The sequence below is a fragment of the Homo sapiens genome, chromosome 8 (genome assembly GCF_000001405.40).
Source record: "Homo sapiens chromosome 8, GRCh38.p14 Primary Assembly".
Taxonomy (NCBI): Eukaryota; Metazoa; Chordata; class Mammalia; order Primates; family Hominidae; genus Homo; species Homo sapiens.
This window is the reverse complement of record NC_000008.11, coordinates 50,424,645-50,444,047: the sequence shown is the minus strand read 5'-3', so window position 1 is coordinate 50,444,047 and position 19,403 is coordinate 50,424,645. Positions and strand designations below refer to the sequence as shown.

At 33.7% G+C, this 19,403-nt stretch overlaps 1 protein-coding gene across 21 annotated transcripts in view; it reads right to left on the bottom strand.

The window, feature by feature from the left end:
- SNTG1 (syntrophin gamma 1) overlaps positions 1 to 19,403 on the bottom strand; it is an 886,897-nt gene that overhangs the window by 352,645 nt on the left and 514,849 nt on the right. For all 21 annotated transcript variants that reach the window (NR_135796.2, NR_135795.2, NR_135797.2 and 18 more), the window contains one exon: positions 5,449 to 5,505. Coding sequence is in view for 16 of the 21 variants with exons in the window: in NM_001287813.3 (NP_001274742.1) it covers positions 5,449 to 5,505 (57 nt within the window). In the remaining 5 variants the exon portion in view is untranslated. The remainder of the gene's footprint in view (positions 1 to 5,448; positions 5,506 to 19,403) is intronic.

Here is a 19,403-nt window from a genome sequence, read left to right as displayed (position 1 = left end):
TCCTGTCTCAGCCTCCCAAGTAGCTGAGACTACAGGCATGTGCCACCATGCCCAGATAATTTTTTTTTTTATTTTTAGTAGAGACAGAGTTTCACCATGTTGGTCAAGCTGGTCTCAAGCTCCTGACCTCAAATGATCCGCCTGCCTTGGCCTCCTAAAGTCCTGGGATTACAGGCATGAGCCACCGTGCCTGGTCTTATTTCAGTTTTAAATAAACCAGAAAGTAAACAGCATAGAGAGGAAACATGATCTATGTCCCTGAGTAGAGAGTTTTGAGGTAATTTATTTCAGGTTTTATAGTTCTAAGCATAGTTATTAAGAGTAAGGACTTTGTCATCGGCTTCTAGGGGGACTGAGGTCCAACTCTACTGCTTATAACAATTGATGAATTACTTAACCTCTTGACACTTAATCTCATTGTCTGTGGAAGGTATAACAATAGTTATCTACTCCACTGGATAATAAAGGCAAATTGAACTAAATATGAAGTATTTAGCTCAGAAACTGGCACTTAATAAGTGGGGCATAAATATTAGCAATTATTTAGAAATGAGAAGATGATTAAGAGTAATAATGATTATAATTCTATTTTTTACTGCTGTAGTGTTAAATCTTCCAAATAGAAATCACCTTTGATTGCATACATTTATTTAATGGACATAGATAATTTATTATTTTCATAAGAAAATTGTGTCTGTTGGAAAATACTGCATAAAATATATTTATAGTAATAACATTTAAAACATCCTTTCCCTCAAAGGTAAATTTTTAAATGACAATGAACAGAAGTATAATTTAATAATGTGCAGCTAGATAGTATTGAATTTTAAAAGATATGAGAGATAAATAAAGCCTCACAAGGGCAAGACGATGGCTTGCTTTAACATGACTATCCCTATGGTAATCCCGATAGGAAGAATAAGGCAAAATACAATAATATTGGATCCTACGATGCAGAAATTTGGTGATTTCTGCAGATGTAGTTGAGGAAACTATTAAAGTTATTTATATAAATGCCAAGTCTCTGCATGGTCCAGCCCAGAGGATGGGCACTTGAGAGGGGAAGGAGACAAGAGTTGGTGGGGCTGGGAGAAGAACCAGGAAATGCCAGTAGAAATGGTGCTGCAAGCAGGGAAAAGCAGCCAGGCCCGAGGCCATGTGCAGGATGCCACTAGCCTGCTGAATCTGCCCGCTTCAAAGGAGCAGTTTCTGCCTGAGAACAGGCAGCAGACTATGTGATTATGAGTTGAAAGTTTAGTGGTTCTTTTGTCCAGCTTTGGGGGAAGCCCAGATAGGGCTTTTTGTTGAAATTTTTGTGAAAAGTAAACTGAAGAGCTTGATTTTTTTTTTTTTTTTTTTTTTTTTTTACTGATAGACAAATTAATACAAAGAAAAAAAGGCACACAAGTATGTGATTTCTGAGAGATGTTTTAACAAAGGAAAATTAAATAATAACAGGCAGGAAGAAATCTAAATCACTGTCAAAAAATCCCAAAAGTTACAGCAGGAGTGAGGATGCCTCTGAAAGGCAACCTGAGAGAAAGAATATCTTGGATAAGCAAGGATGCCTGGAGGGCTGGGAGCAGGAGTGAGCCAGGTGCATAAAGCCCTAGAAGGGTTCTAATAAGAGAGGAAGGAGGCATGGCTGTCTCCTTCCAGGCTCTAAAGTAGGGATTTGCTTCACTTAAAGACAGTGGAGGGACCGGTGCAAATGTGTGTCATGACTCCAAATTTCATCTCATTATATTATGGCTCAGTTACTCATTTGATCCTTCTACAGTTGCTAAACAGCAATGAAAGAATAACTGTAGAATGAGACAAGAAAGCAGAGAAAGTAGCACAACCAGGAAGGGACATTCTCCCCAGAGGTTAAAAAGGATTTCTTTTCACTTTAGGAGCTGAGTGCAAATAGTTCATCAAAACTGGGAGATGGGGATGCGAGAGTGTCAGCCTGTGTGTGGCACCTCCCTGGTCAAGGCATCTGCTTTTCCATGTGCAGCATGCGCTAAAGCTGGACATTGTGCTCATACGTCATTTCGGGCTTTACTTTTGCTTTTTTTTTCTTATTATTTAGAATTAACATGGAGAAACAGGCAATTTTGGTCTTTACCTTTTAATGGTAAAACATTCCTGTTATAAAACAATAGGAGTTTAGGAATCTAAAGGACAAATAAGTCCATGAAGATAAATCAGTAATTCCTACCCTAAATCTCAATGTAATTGATGTCAGAACTCTTTTTGGGTGGCTTTGTTTCAAACTGAGTGTCTAGCATTTTTGGAGATGATTTGAAGAAATGGTAAGTATGACTTTCCAAGGACAGGCTCAGATTTGGTAAGAAACTCCAAAGAATGTGCTTCAAAAAATTTAAAGAGAAAAATTAAGGAATAATGGAAAGAAAACTAGACAAAATTTGAAAAGAAAAAGGATTCGGACTTACTTAAGTCATATTTTTAAAATGTAAAGCTGTTTCAATATTCCTTTCATTTCTACTAAATATATATTTTTCTCTTATTCTTTGGGATTTCAGGAATTTTTGACATAGGAACCCTCCTCAATGTGGTCTGCATCATATCTAGCATTAGTACATCAAGGGAAGAGTTAAAGTCCTAGAATTAAGCCGTAGGGACACTGAACTGCCTCAACCTCCAAGCCACCTGCACGTTTTGTCCCAGAAGTTTGTACAATGTCTTATATAAGGTAAAGAAGAAAAATGAAGGTAAAGGCTAACTTTTATTTTCCCACCAACTTGTACCCTACAAGGTACCCTGGCTGGAGACAGGGCTTGAGAGAGACAGCAATATTGCACATGAGCAGCAGACATCAAGGATTTGTGGACACTGGTAGCTACAGAGACTTCATGTTGCCCACAGCCCACAGCCGCTGAGACATATTAATCAACAAAACAATGGACTCAGACCTACATAAGAAGCCCCACCACACTGTCCTTGTCCAGTTTGTGGGGAGATGTGAGGAATTACCATGCTGCACAGTGGTGACTGTGACAGGAAAGTCCCCAAGCCAAGATCTGTCAAGAGTGTAGGGCATGGCCAGCTGGCTTTGACTTCTAGCAGCACATGTTAGAGCATTTGACTGAATTCTGTCTAAAAAGGACATTCATTACCCTTTAACCAAGTTTTTTTCTTTTTTAAAGAATGTGTTTTTAACATAAAACTAAAATACCATGTGTTCTGAGTCCAGCGGAATTCACAAGCACCTGTAGGAGTCTTAACTACATTGGTAAATGGCTTTTCAGTTGTCTAACATACCATCTTCCTTCTGTCATCTTAAGTCAAGACCATAAAGGTTTTAATTAATAATTCTCACCACGAGTCTTTCCGGTGTGTGCCGCTGAGGATTACTTAACTGAAGCAAATAGTGGTAAGATATGCGTTTATGTATTTATATGCATACTTTTATTAGTGGCTCAAATTGCTCCTGAAAACTGTAAATAAATAGTTCAACATTAAAATACTAATTCTGCTTCTAGCCTAGAATGATATTTTTAAAAAAGTTTATACATTTTTTTAAATTCTCAGATCTAAGGAAAATAGTGCTAACAAATAAACACAGTAGTTTATTCAACTCATATATGACAGGGAAAGAGATTTTTGTAATAACACTGCTAGTTAAAAGAAAGAATCATATTTTGATCTAAATAATCACAATAAAAGATAGTTTAAAAAATAGAAAAATGAAGTTCAGAGGTAAGTATGAGAAAGTAAAAATAAAAAACCATAAAAGGAATTTCTTTAGGATGAATGAGTAATATTCTAAATAAAAGTCTTGATGTTTGTATTTCTTGTCAGAGTGTGTCATAAGAATTTTGCAAAAAGTTCTTTTTTGTTAACTCTAATATAAGATATTGATCATAGCTCAAATACCACTTTTTGGTCAATAATTGAATGGAAAATTCATACTTATTTAATTCAAAAAATATTCTATTTATTATATATACAATAGTTTTGATTGGATTGAAATAATGAAAATATTAAAATGAAAAGCTTTATTTAGAAAAATTATTGATGCTTTAAAAACTAGGTTAAAATGTGGCATTTTAGTAAAAATAGATAGCATTGCATTATTGGGTTTAAATTTAAAATACGAAAAACAACAAAAAAAGGAAAAGAACATTTCTAGGTGACACAAAATTAATGGAAGCTCTACTACCAGAAATAGAGTTAGTGCCTGGTTCAGTAAAAATGATGATTTCAGATGAAATCAGCTCTCACTATTGGATTTTATTCATGGATTTTCTAGTATCTTTAGTGGTACTTTTAAATTCTTTACAGCAATCTCAATAAACAGCCTGGCCAAAAAAAAAAAAAAAAAAGCAAAACAAAAAAAAATCTCATTTATTGAGTGATTAAATTCTCATAGAATACATTGCACATCCTATAATCTGTTCTGCATGCCTCCCTGGTCTTAGTTGGTGATAAGATAAAGTTTCACTTTGATAAACTGAATGTACAAAATATGTTTTGAAGCTAGTGCTCTTTATAGCAATATTCTTTTCTTATCACTGACAATACAACGCTATTGCATACTGATTTCTACTCTGAGTCATTTTCACAAAGTCAACTAGAGCTGATGTTCACAAAATTTAGAGTTCTGCTTTCCATAAATATATGACATGAGTTGTGTTGAAATTTCAAGCAATGTGTACTTGAAATATATAAATTATTTTCACCCTATATAAGTCAAATAACTAACCCAATAATTATAAAGTTAAACTTCATTTATCTATGAAGAGATGTAGGTTTGACAAAGGCATTGCAGTCATGAGATTAACTCTTCAATATTTACATAATTTCCTATGCTTTAAAAATTTATCCTTTATTTCAATGATAATAAATTGCAGATATGGTACATCTCTAATAGTCAATAATATACAAAATAAAGGCCTTTAAAATTTGATAATAAATTTAAATGAACACATATGTTCACTTTTAAAATAAAGCATATGCAAAGACTTTAAGTCTATCCTATATGATTAGCACTATACAATTAAATTTACTGATTTCTTTTTTAAAAATGAAAAATAAACAAGATGAACAGAATACAATATCTCACTTACTATTGGGCTTTATTAGTGTGAAACTTGTTATTGTTCTATTTACTGCAGATCATCATTTCCTACTCCAGTTGGTTAAAGAAAGATATGCACACGACATCATATTTAACATTTCAGAAAAACCAGACAAAGAAAGTTAATGAGTTAAATTCAATCATAAGGTAAATTCCCATATTCTTTGCTAAACTTTCTAAATCAAATGGTAAGAGTTTGCAGGAATTCTGTGAGAACCTACCTAATTTACATCCCCGTCCAAATATTAAGGAGTTTGCTATAGCCATCCTTGTCTAATTATTAATCAGCAAACATTGAAATGCACCAAAGTTCAGCTCTTATGGCATGGCCTTTGTAAGGATAGACTAGAAAGGCAGGCTACCTTTATGCTTAATCCAAATCCTCCTACTGTTTGTCTTCTGATGGTCACCGTTCTTTCCTGAAAGACAGGATTTTTAAGAATGGTTAGTGTTTCCTAATACTATACTTACACACCATTTTTTGTTGTTTTTTTGGTTTTCTTCTGGGTTTTGCTTTTGCTCTTTAAAACAAAAGAGAACTCTTCTGTGCTGGGATAGTGCCTCCACATCTTGTAATAAATAGTCTTTGACTTTTAAATCAAAGGGTTACTTGTTAAAATAACAGGGACTGAAGCGTTATAAACTCCTAAACTCTTAAAAATAAGTTCTTCTCAATGATTATTTTGGACATATTTTGGAATCTTAACTTTTATACCTCTTCTTATTTCCACATTACGTATTCTTATTTTCTAAGAAATGATAAGTTTTAGGTTATATAAAAGTAACTCAGAGGCAATGGTAAATATGATCCTGGTAAACCATGGCCCTGTCTCCATCCCTGCCTGGAATTCGGGAGCTAAGCTGGGAGGCTGCCGTGGCCAGCACAGAAATGCTACATGTGTGTGTTTTAGATTGAAAGTGAATAAACCAAGTCCAAAATAAACTAATTGCTTGTTCATAAAATGAATAAATTACACATCTAAGTAATAATGATAATTGAATTATCAACTTTAACAATCAGTTTCTTTTTCTCTCCACAATAGAAGTAATTCAATCACTGGCCTATAAAACTTCAAAATCACAAAGATGATGGCATGAGAACAAAGAGCTACATTTAGACAAATCCTGTAATTTTCAATTTGAAAAATCGATACTGCTCTGATTTTGGGCAGTCATCTTTACATAGTGCTTACTGCGGAGGCATGCTATAGGGCTGAACGCTTTAACTTATAGCTTGCTCCATTACATCAATCTTTTTGAACATTCCCCTATGCAGAATCATTTGAGACACTGACCCTTTTCCCCTGCATCTGGGGTAGATATTTGTTATCTGGTCCCTATATCTCTACAAATACCTTTTGCCCACATTATCCATTTCCAAATGTAAATACTGCCCTCTTTCTTACAGATGAATTGCTTCCCTCATTCTCTTGTTCTGCGGAAACTGTGTGGAACAGATAATATTATTTTAAAAGAACTAGTGAAAATTGGAAAAATGTGTGCTTCTGGTGGCTCTTGCTAAATATTTTAAGATAGCATAAGACTCTTCATTTTGGCAAGGTTAAAAACTTCCTTGTTTAGCCAAAAGTTTGGTTTCTATAAATAGAACAAAATAATACTTAAAGAACAAGATTGCCATACCAGAATTTGAGGTATACTATTATTGATTTATTTTGAATTTTGAAAATAAGACTTTTTGATGAAGATGGTGCATATTTACTTAGAAATTATTATTATTACTATTGAATGCAAATGAGTAGCATTCGATAAAATAAATTTTCTTTATTTTGACAATGTGCTGAGTAATTTCATCTATTTCAAAAATACTTATGTTACTCTTATAATCTGTCATCCAATCATACTTTCAAACCAACATTAAAATTATAATTGTACAAATAAGTTTCTATGTGTATAACAATTTATGCAAAGCAACTTGAAATATAAGATGAACTATTTGTATTAAATACTACCACAAAGTCTGTTTTTATTTTTCAGCATACTGTTTGTTGCATTACCCCAGGAATGCAACCACAAATACGGGAAGATATATTTTAGAATTTATATCGCAAAACCTACACATATAAACAGGGCTGCATATACAAAAGCAAAAAGGAAGGTTAAACATGTGCATTATAAGTACACAAAATCTATTAATAATTTAAAATAAACTATGTATTAGAAATGTCTTTTTATTGAAAAGGAGAAATGCAATCTGTCGAATAATTAATTAATATTTGTTATTTCTCATTAAATGGTTCATTAAAGAGAAGTTGAATATTGCAAACAATACTGGAATTGAAGTTAGACAATGTGCCAATGATGCTAATAGCTACAGCTTCATACAACTTCATCCATTCAGCAAATTACTTATAAGCCTCTGTTTTCAAATTTGGAAAATGCTTATAAATAATACATAGCAATTAAAAGCTTTGTCTTGAGAATTAACATTTGTAAAAGACCCTGGCATAGAGTAGAAATTTAGTATTTACACACACACATGCACGCACACACACACAATCTGATATCCTATATAGGGATTCTTATGTAATAGTCATTTTAATATATTTACATCATAGAATAACTCAAATACTGGAAGACTAAGATTCAGGAATAGGTGAATTAAATCGTGACTATTTTTCCTACAAAATAGATAGGTAAACTGCTTTTATAAAACTGACAACCCAACTAAACTAAAATTCTTGTATGACAGGAACTATTTCTTTTTTCCTTTTCTGTAAAAAGTAAATATGTGATTCCTTAAAACAGTATCAAAATCAGTGGTGCAGTCATCCAGACAACCCATATCAGTTGTCTTAAAATACAAATTTCAGTCAGAGCAAATGCATTTTAAGCAGCAAATGCCATCCCCTAAATTTTGTAGAGCGTTTTGCCTAGCAATAATTGGCCATGAGGAAAACTCGGTCAGTAATTGCTGCTCAATAGCTAAATGCATACTGAAGTGCTGCTTTCCTTTGACAGAAACAACAAGCATCGCAGGGTCCTCAAAAACCGTTTCTTTGAACTTCTTTACTCATGCTCTACAAGCCCACTCTCTAATCTCTGGTGGAGAATATTTAGAACATGTTCCAAATCAAATACAAAACTGCTGATGCAGAAAAGATTTTGGAGAGACTAAAGAGTCAGCAGAAACCACCAAAAGAATCTCAAAAACAGCACTTATCTTAATGTTTTATTAAACACCTGGGCACACACACAACATGCAAATTATAGCCAGTGTCTCCAGATGCTGCTTCTTCATTAGCTTACTTTTAAGAAAGTTAGGAGAGACAAGGCAAAACAAGTTACTTAGTGTTTTAAAACCAAGATTGCACATTGGTCACTGCAGGCAGCAGGAAGCATGAAAAGGGAAATAACTGTTCTTGGTGTGGCCTCTGCTAATATATTCCCAGTTGTTTGTGTTTGCGGTAGCTCTGCCACTTTATCCCCTTACACCTCTGCTTCTTTCCTCCTCCCAAAATAGACGTAATAAAAAGAAGAAATGAACCATTTCAAATACTCAGCTCATAAATCAGACAATATCTGGAAGCTGATCTGAAAGTATATTTAGTTAACACATCATGAGTGTCGTAAAGACTGTTGCCAGGTAACAAAGCACCGTCCTTTGGGAGACCAAAGTATTGTCAGTGATTTTATTTTGTAAAACACAAAATCCAGGCTGATGCTCCTATACAGTTTCATATATATATAATGCCTTTATTTAATCTTCTTTTTCGTTACAAAAATGCAAAGGATTGAGCCCAAGATTAATATCGGACTGTATAAAGACTTGCTGCACACTTAAATAATCAACATCAATGTTACAAAAAAAGCCTTGTATTAAATACTTAGTATGCTTTGTAGAAAAATATAACTATCATCCCTGCTTTTTGGAATATTATATTATAAGTTGCATATAGAGAAAGATTGTATGAACTATATTGGAAGAAAAATATACATGACACCAAAAAAAAGTTGGCATCACATATCTCAGGTATTGAAATTTTGAGATTTGTATGGAAAAAAGTTAGGAAGAAGTGGAAATCATGCAGAAACTAAAGAGATTATCATTGGAAAATTGTTTGTATTAATTTTGTGTTACAGAAACCAATACATTATTGTTTGTAGAACAATAATGGAAAGAAAATAGAGAATGTTAATAGTTCTTTTTGACAACTGAGGAAGAGTAGCTGAAGTTGGAAAAGGAATAATGAGGATGATGGCCTCTAATTATTAAAAATCTACTATGTGTACATATGAACAGACATTTCTCAAAAGATGACATTTATGCAGCCAACAGACACATGAATAAATGCTCATCATCACTGGCCATCAGAGAGATGAAAATCAAAACCACAATGATATACCATCTCACACCAGTTAGAATGGCGATCATTCAAAAGTCAGGAAACAACAGGTGCTGGAGAGGATGTGGAGAAATAGGACCACTTTTACACTGTTGGTGGGACTGTAAACTGTTCAAACATTGTGGAAGACAGTGTGGCGATTCCTCAAGGATCTAGAACTAGAAATACCATTTGACTCAGCCATCCTATTACTGAGTATCTACCCAAAGGATTATAAATCATGCTGCTATAAAGACACATGCACACGTATATTTATTGTGGCACTATTCACAATAGCAAAGACTTGGAACTAACCCAAATGTCCATCAATGATAGACTGGATTAAGAAAATGTGGCACACATATACCATGGAATACTATGCAGCCATAAAAAAGGATGAGTTCATGTCCTTTGTAGGGAAATGGATAAAGCTGGAAACCATCATTCTGAGCAAACTATGGCAAGGACAAAGAACCAAACACCGCATGTTCTCACTCATAGGTGGGAATTGAACAATGAGAACACTTGGACACAGGAAGGGGAACATCACACACTGGGGACTGTCATGGGGTAGGGGGAGGGGGGAGGGATAGCATTAGGAGATATACCTAATGTAAATGATGAGTTAATCAGTGCAGCACACCAGCATGGCACATGTATACATATGTAACAAACCTGCACGTTGTGCACATGTACCCTAGAACTTAACGTATAATAATAAAAAATAAATAAAAATCTACTATGTGTACTTATAGCTCTCATAGCACTTAGAATTGTTTATTGAAGAGAACTATGCCCTCGACTTTTTTCCTCCAAGTTTTCTGAGAGCTGGACCTATGTCTTACACAAAGTTATCTCACAAGCACTTAGCACAGGTCATGAAACAAAGTTAGGTATTAAAATGTTAAATGAATAAATATTCATTCAAACATTATTCTAAGTAATTATCACAGCAACCCACTGGTGTAGGAAATTGTTTTTCTAATTAACAGATGAGAAAATCAAAATGTAAAAGAGTGAAATTAACTTGACCAAGATCCAAGTTGTGATTGAAACCAAGTTTTCTCTGATCTCTGCTGTTCTTTCTATCCCAACAGGCCTGAGATAAAATGAAGAATTAGAATGAAAAAAAAAAAAAACAGAAAACTCATGGTGCAATGTAGTAAAAAGGGGGAGAAATGTAATATTTTCCCTGCAAGATTGGGAATAAGGCCAGGATATCCCTGTTCACCATTGCCATTCAATATCTTGATGTTCTAGCTAGCGCAGTGATGAAATACTATGAAATAAAGGCTTATGAAATGAACAAAAATAGAGGACTATCTTTGTTTTTTGTCAACGTATAAAATCCCAAAGAATTGAAAAAAAATTCTTCTAGAAGTGGTAAGTAATTATAGCAAGTTCATAGAATATGGAATTATTATAAAAATTAAATTGCTTTCTTACATATCAGCAATGAGAAATTGGAATTGAAAATTAAAAGCATAATGCCATTTAAAATAACACATACTAAAAGGGAAATATTTTGTGGCCTGGCGCAGTGGCTCATGCCTGTAATCCCAGCACTTTGGGAGGCCGAGGCAGGTGGATCACTGGAGGTCAGGAGTTCGAGACCAGCCTGGCCGACATGGTGAAACCCCCATCTCTACTAAATAGAAAAAATTAGCCGAGCATGGAGATGTGCGCTGTAATCCCAGCTACTTGGGAAGCTGAGACAGGAGAATCGTTTGAACCAGGGAGGTGGAGGTTGCAGTAGCCGAGACTGTGCCACTGCACTCCAGCCTGGGCAATAGAGTGAGACAGAGTCTCAAAAAAATGAATAAATAAATAAAATAAAAAATAAAATGTAAATAAAAAATAAAAGAAAAATATTTTGGTATAAATCTAACATAATACTAATAGGATTTATATATGAAACTAAAAAATCTAGAGAAAAAACAAATATGTTCAAAACATATGAAGAGATAACCGTATTCATGAATTGAAAGACTCAATATTTTTAAGATGTCATTCCTTTCCAACTTGATTTTTAAAATCTATGCAATTCCAATAAAAATCCCAGCAAGCTATTTGTGGATACTAGCAAACTAATTTTTAGGTTTAGATGGACAGCCAAAAGACCTATAATAACCAGTACAATACTGAAGAAGAATAAAGTTGGAGGACTCAGGATGCTTGACCTAGGACTTACTATAAAGTTTTAGTACACAACACAACATGGCATTTTTGACAGAAAAAGCATTTAGACCACTGGTACAGAACAGGTGGCCAAAAAAAAAAGGAAACAAAAAAGTAGAATCAACTAATATTTGACAAAAGAATAAAAACAATTCAATAGAGAAAAGCAAAGATATTTTTTTCCAACAAACAGTGCTGGAGGAATTGGACATCCATAAGAAGAAAAGGCATGTATACTATGCTCTTCACAAAAATTAACACAGTGTATCATAGATAGGCTTAAATATTAAAAACACAGTAGTACTAGAAGAGAATACAGGAGAAAACCCATGTGATTTTTGGTTTAGTGATGAGTTTTTAGATACAACACCAAAAGTATGATTTATAAAAATGTTGATAAATGAGAATACATTAAAATTAATAACTTTGCTTTGTGAAAGATACTGCTAAGAGAATAAAAAGACAAGCTATGGACTAGAGGAAAATATTTGTAAATCACATATCTGATAGAAGACTTGTATCCAAAATATACAAATAACTCATAACACTCAGTAAGAACACAAACAACCCAATTAAAAAGTGGCTGAAGTATTTGAGCAAACACTTAATCAAAAAAGATATGCAAATAGCAAGCAAGCCTATGAAGACATGTTCAACATCATTTGTCAGGGGGAATTGCAAATTAAAATAACAATGAGATAATATTATACACTTATTAAAACGGCTAAAATCCAAAACACTGACAATACCAAATGCTTTCAAGAATACTGTTCATGGTTAATTTTCATTTCTTATTGGTGTGAATGCAAAAGAGATTTTTGCAGTTTCTTACAAAGCTAACCCTAGTCTTAACATATGATCTGGGAATGATACTCCTAGGTCTTTACCCAAATAATTTGAAAGTTTATGTTTATACAAAAATCTGCATGCAGATATTTATACTACCTGTATCCATTATCACCAATAAGTATAAATAGCCAAATAAGATGTCCTTCAATAAGTGAATGAATAAACAAACTGTGGTACATCTATACAGTGAAGTATTGAATAATTTTAAAAATGAGCAATCAAGCTGCAAAAAGACATGGAGATTCTGCATGCATAGCCTCCCATGTTATCAATATCTCCTATCAGAGGGGAACATTTGTTACAACTGACAAACCCACATTGACACAGAATCTCCATGTTAAGGAAACTATTCTATATGATATTACAATAGAAATTGCATACCATTATACATTGTCAAAGCCCATAGAACTTTAGAGCACCAAGAGTAACCTTAATGTATGCAAATGTCTAAAAATTATTCAGGACTAAAGAAGGAATGCAGTCTGTGACACTTGAACTACATTACGAATGTATGTTACAACCTCAGCGATGGGGCAGGGGGATGATGTGACCTAAGTCACTGTGGAAATGAAGTAAGGCACAAGCATCTGTAAGACAAAGGCTAAAGATGAAAGGCTAAAGGAACTGCACATGGAACTGTATTCTGGTTGATAAAGTTGTTTCACATCAGGGTATGGTGTGAAGACAAGAGTGATTCCATCTCGGAATTCCATGTCGATTCCTAACTATCCCAGTCCCATGAATGTATTTTGATTTCTGCTTTACCATCCTGATTTACCATCTCTGTTGTAAGAACATGTCATTCTTGCCTTTTCTGGATGGTTGCATTTAAATGTCTTGCTGGAGCATATACACCCTTCCTTATGGTATACAAGCCCTGGATCTGAGGAGTAACAGTGCAGAGATCTACTTGCCTTGCAGCCAACCAAGACCACATTTCTGTCTGCAAGTTCTGCCAATAAAACACCCCTTAGAACAAAGTCGATTTGTCTGTCTCATTCTTTGGTTCCTTGGCTTCTTCAGCATGTGGGGGCTACTTTGCATAAATGGCCCTTTCACAGTACATACAGGTTAACAATCCTAATACTATTATACATGTATATTGAAATTTAACAAGTAAACGGGTGGTGGATGAAGGGAATCCAGGTTTCTCTGTGTTAGAGAAGAACTAACAGATAAGCAAGATGAGGAGGCTAAAAATTTCACGAGGTTGTGGAAACTAGTTGGGGACATCAGTATAAACTCATGTTTAGCTTAATATTGATACTGATGTTTATGCATAAAAATATTTATAGATATGTGAATATACACAGTTTTTATCTTTCTAAGAATATATTTTTTGAGATATAATTCATATGCCATGAAATTAACCCATTTAAAGCGTGCAATTCAATGACTTTTAGCATAGTCACAGTTGTGCATTCACCACAATTAATTTATTTGGCTACTGTGAATAAAGCTGCTGTAACATTCATGTGCAAGCATTTTATGGCACATTTGTAAAAATTTCTCTTGCATATATACCAAGTATTGAAAATGGGAATTGTCAGACTGTTTTTCAATGTGGCCATGTCACTTTATATTCTCATCAACAATGTATGAGAATTTCAATTTCTCCATATTCTCAATAAACCTTATTATCTATCTTTGTGATTATAGCCACCCTAATTGATATAAAGTTGTATATAATGGTTTTGATGTAAATTTCCCTGATGGCACTTTGTTCATTTGCTTACCATTTATATACCTTCTTTAGTGAAACATCTAGTCAAATTATTTGCCCATTTTTTGATTGCCCGTTTAATTGAGTTGCGAGAACTTTTTACACTTTCTGGATATAAATACCACACTAGATTTGTGATTTACAAAAATGTTCTCCCATTTTGTGTATTGTCTTTTCACTGTATTGATAGTGTTATTTGAAGCACAAAAGTTTTAAATTTTTATGATGTGCCATTTATCTGTTTTTTCTGTGTTTTGTGTAATTTGCACCTTGATGGCAAATTTACAAAACCATTGCCTGAACCAATGTCAAAATTATTTACATGTATGTTTCCTTCTGAGTTTTAATAGTTTTAGTTCTTAAATTTAGATTTTTCATGCAGTTTGAATTAACTTTTGTATGTGGTGTGAGGTAGGGTTCAAAATTCATTATTATATGTGTAAATATTCAGTTGTCCCAGAACCATTTGTTGAAAAGACAGTTCTTTCTTCATTGGTTTGGGTACTCTTACTAAAAATAAGTCGACTATGAATTTGTTTATTTCTGAACTCTCAATTCTATTCCACTGATCTATTATGTCTATCGTTATGCCAGTACCACCTTAGATTACTGTCTATTCATAGTAAGCTTTGAAATCAGGAAATATGAACCCTCAAACTCTTTTGTTTTTTTCAAGATTGTTTTAGCTATTTGAAATCTCTTTCATCTCCTTATGAATTTTAGGATCAGCTTGTCTATTCCTGCAAGGAAATTAGCTGGGATTTTTTTATAGGGATTTATAATGTAGATCAATTTTGGGATTATTATGATAATATAAACAATAATATTGAGTTTTCTAATACATGAAAATGGTATGTCTTTTCATTTATTTAGGCTCTGTTTAATTTCTTTTACTCATGATTTTTAGTTTTCAGAATAGGTATTTTATAATTTTGTTAAATTTATTCCTAAGTATTTTTGATGCTACTTTAAATGAACAATGGGGTCCTTGGTCCCAAGGAAGTAATAGCATTCCATCTTAGAAGACTTAGGCACAGAACTTACCTCCCTAGATAATTTTACAAAAATCTAATTAAAGAGAATAAATTACAAAAAAAGGCCCTTTCCTATAAATTCTTTTACAGATCACATTTACAGCACTTCTGAGGTTTCTTGCTTCATTCCCTTTGATTCATTCCCCAGGCAAGCTCTCAGGGTTTTGGGTTTTTCTCTCTTGCTACAGGTGTAGTGGTGAAAAAGGAGATTAACATTCCCTAAAGCCCACTGAAAATTGTAGTTTGTAGCAGGTCCTTCATATGTGACTTAAGGTCATTAGATAATGCAGACTATTTAAAATTTAAATATTCCTTGTTAGCTTTGCAAAGAATTGAAAATTGCACAATTCCACTTTTGTTTCTGCAAATATGCATCTGTAATATAAACAGAACCACAGTGATGTTAAGTAACTTTACCAAGGTCAGTTAGTGGTGAATTCTCTGGATTGAAATGCAGGAACTAGGAGCCACTGCCCATATATTCATCCCCTGTTCTATTCTTTTATTGTTTTTCTTTTCTTTTAAGAGACACAGTCTTACTCTGTTGCCGAGGCTGGAATGCAGTGGCTTCATTATAACTCATTGTAACCTTGAATTCTTGGGCTAAAGAGATCCTTCTGCATCAGCCTCTCCAGTATCTAGGACTACAGGCATATGCCACCATGCTCAACTAATTTTTTAATTTTTTGTAGAAATGTAGTTTATGTTGTCTAGGCTGGTCTCCAACTCCTGGCCTCAAGTGATCTCACCTTTGCCTCCCAAAGCACTGGGTTTACAGGTGCAAGCCACTGCACCTCTTCCTGTCTCCTATTTCTTAACACTTATTTAGATGGTAATGTCTCTGAGGAGCCCTGTATTAAACATCATTATTTCCTTTTGTCTAATCTACTGTTTCTCTAACTGAAAACTCTGGCATGGGACTTCTAATTGAGTTAGACAAATATATATTTAAAAGGCTGTGTGAGACAAAGATTCACTAATTCAAATCATCTAATGAATTGTATTTGAACATATAGTCCCAACAGTGCCTCTTGGCATAATATAGAAAGAACAATTGAGTAAATTTGTTCTGAGAATATTTTTAAATTATTAGTAAAAATGTATTTGAGGCTGGGTGCAGTGACTCATGCCTTTAATCCCAGTGCTTTGGGAGGCCAGAGTGGGAGGGTTGCATGAGGTTGAGCCTTTGAGAACAGGCTAAGCAACATTGTGAGACCCTGTCTCTACAAAAGATAAAAAAGCTTAGCTAAGCATGGTGGTATGCACCTGTAGGCCAAGCTACTTGGGAGGCTGAGGCAGGACAGCTTGAACCAAATAGTTTGAGGCTGTGGTGAGCTATGATCATGCCACTGCACCCAAGCTTGGTAACAGAGGGAGACCCCGACTCAAAAAATTAAAAATAAAAAAAGTGTATATATACATATTTGAATATTTGCATTAGTGTCTGTTTTCTTTAACAGTGTCTTCAATACAGTTTTTAAACAGATTCATACCATTTGTAAATATTGATATTAATAATAATCATTATGTTTACATTTCTGCAAAGCTTACTTAGTAAAATTGGCTTGTAATTTTAGATTGTTGTTAAATAATATTTTTGACTGTAACTTTTATCATAATGGTAATTTAGGGGTGAATTACCACAAAACTAAGAAATAACATTGATTTTTGCTTTTCATGAAACCTTTACTGTGAGTAAGAAATTTTATATCTATATAGGTAGAAGTATACATAACCATTCCTCAGTATCTGTGGGGGATTGACTCCATGATCTCCTTGGAATACCAAAATCTTCAGATGCTCAAGTCCCTCATATAAGATGGCATAGTATTTACATGTGATCTACATACATCTCCAGGTATACTTTAACTCATCTTTACTTAAAATACCTAATACAATGTAAGTTCTATATAAATAGTTATTAAAAAGCTGTTATACCATATTGCTGTATTATAGCCTATATAGTAAATAGTTATTATACGTTATTGCTTTTTAAATTTGTGTTACTTCTTATTGTTGTATTTTTTTCCCAAATATTTTTCATTTTACAAGAATGGAAGTTGCTCTAGGTGAGGCAGTGAGTAAGTGGTGAGTGATTGTGAATGATAGCACACTACTTTATAATACTGTAGAATTTGTAAACACTCGATGCTTAGGTTATACTAAATTTATTTTAAAATACTTTTCTTTCTTCAGTAATAAATTAACTTTAGCCTATTGTAACATTTTTTACTTATAAAGTAAAAAGTTTATAAAACTTTTTATTTTTTTGACTTTTAATAACACTTAGCTTAAAACACAAACACATTGTATAGCTGTGTGAAAATATTTTCTTTATATTCTTACTCTATAAGCCTTTTTATTTATTATTATTATTTTATTTTTAAAATGTTTTTGTTAAAAACTAAGACATATACACACATATTAGCCTAGGCCTACACAGGGTCAGGATCATTAAGATGTAACTAGAAATTTTTCAGCTCTATTATAATCTTATGATACGCTGTAATATATGTGGCCCTTCATTGACCAAATATCATTATTGCTGAAAGCAATAACAAATGAATTCTTATACAGTGTCACAGACAAGAGGTGCCTGAGGAGATCTGAGGACTACATACAGAGGTGTCCTGGATGCGATCCTGGACTATCGATGAAAACTAAGAAAATCTAAATACACTATGGACTTGTGTTACAATTTACCTATCAAAATGTATTCATTCACTGTAACCAACTTACCATACTATGTAAGATGTTAATAGGGGAGCCTCGGTGTGTGGTATATCTCTATATTATTTTTGCAATTTTTTCTGTCAATCTAAAACTGTCCTAAATAATAAAGCACATTTTTAATGGAGGAAATTAAATTTAATGAAGACTTCCAGAATGCCAGACACTCTACTTTGCACTTGATTTACAGAAGAATATAAAACAACTGGGATTTAGGAATTCGTCCAGTTTGCTTCTTCACTGCAAGCTTATTTCAGCACCTCATTGCATCTCCTAAGTGTTTTCCTTGATTCAAACGTCACCCTCCAATATTTTTTACCAATAATATCAGATTGACCTTTCTTTCATATAATTCAGTTTAATGCTTAATTTTTATCTGTATCAAAGTAAGGTATGTATGTTAAAATAGCAGTCCCTAACCTTTTTGGCATGAGGGACTGGTTTCATGGAAAACGATTTTTCCACAGACCAAGTGGTGGGGATTGGACTAGGAATGATTCAAGCTCATTACATTTATGGTGCACTTTATTTCTATTATTATTATTATACTGTAATATATAATGAGATAATTATACAACTCACCATAATGTAGAATCAGTGAGAGCCCTCAGCTTGTTTTCCTGCAACTAGGTGGTCCCATCTGGGGGTGATGAGAGACAGTGACAGATCATCAGGTATTAGATTCTCATAAGGAGTGCACAACCTAGATCCCTGGCGTGTGCAATTCATAATAGGGTATGTGCTTCTATGAGAATGTGATGCTGCTGATGATCTGATGGGAGGCAGAGCTCAGACCGTAAAGCATGATCACCTGCCGCTCACCTCCTGCTGTGTGACCAGCAGCAGTCACCTCCTGCTGACTGGTACCAGTTGGGACCCCTGTGTTAAAAGTCTAATATTCTACATGAATTGTATTAACCACAAAAAAAATCCCTTTTTGCCCTTATCTCCACTTAGCTTTCACCTGCCCGGACGCAAATCTTGTGCCATTTCTTCTTATGACTCATTCCATATTTCTAAATAATATACTTGTGATTTATTGTCTTCCATTTTAAAAAATGCTATCTCTACTATGGAAAAAAACTATTGATTTCTCATAAACAATGCTACACACATACACTTTTTATATTCCAGTTTCACCTGTAAATATAATTATAATTTTCTAGTGAGTCAGTAGTCAATGTTTATGTAATTACTTTGAAATATTATTCCCACTGAATACAATGAGCAGAGCATAATTATGTTTCCATCTTGTGCAATTCTTAGCATTTCCTGAAGCTCCTAAATGGCTTTTGAAATTTTCCTAGTTTTCTATATACTTGTCTGTCATGAAATTGATTCCCAAATTTAAAGAACAGTAAAACTCCTCTTAACAAAGTCACATATTTTAATGTTTTCAATCATAAGATAGTGTGATTTTTAATTTTTTAAAAATCTATCTCTCTCCTGGACTCATACAT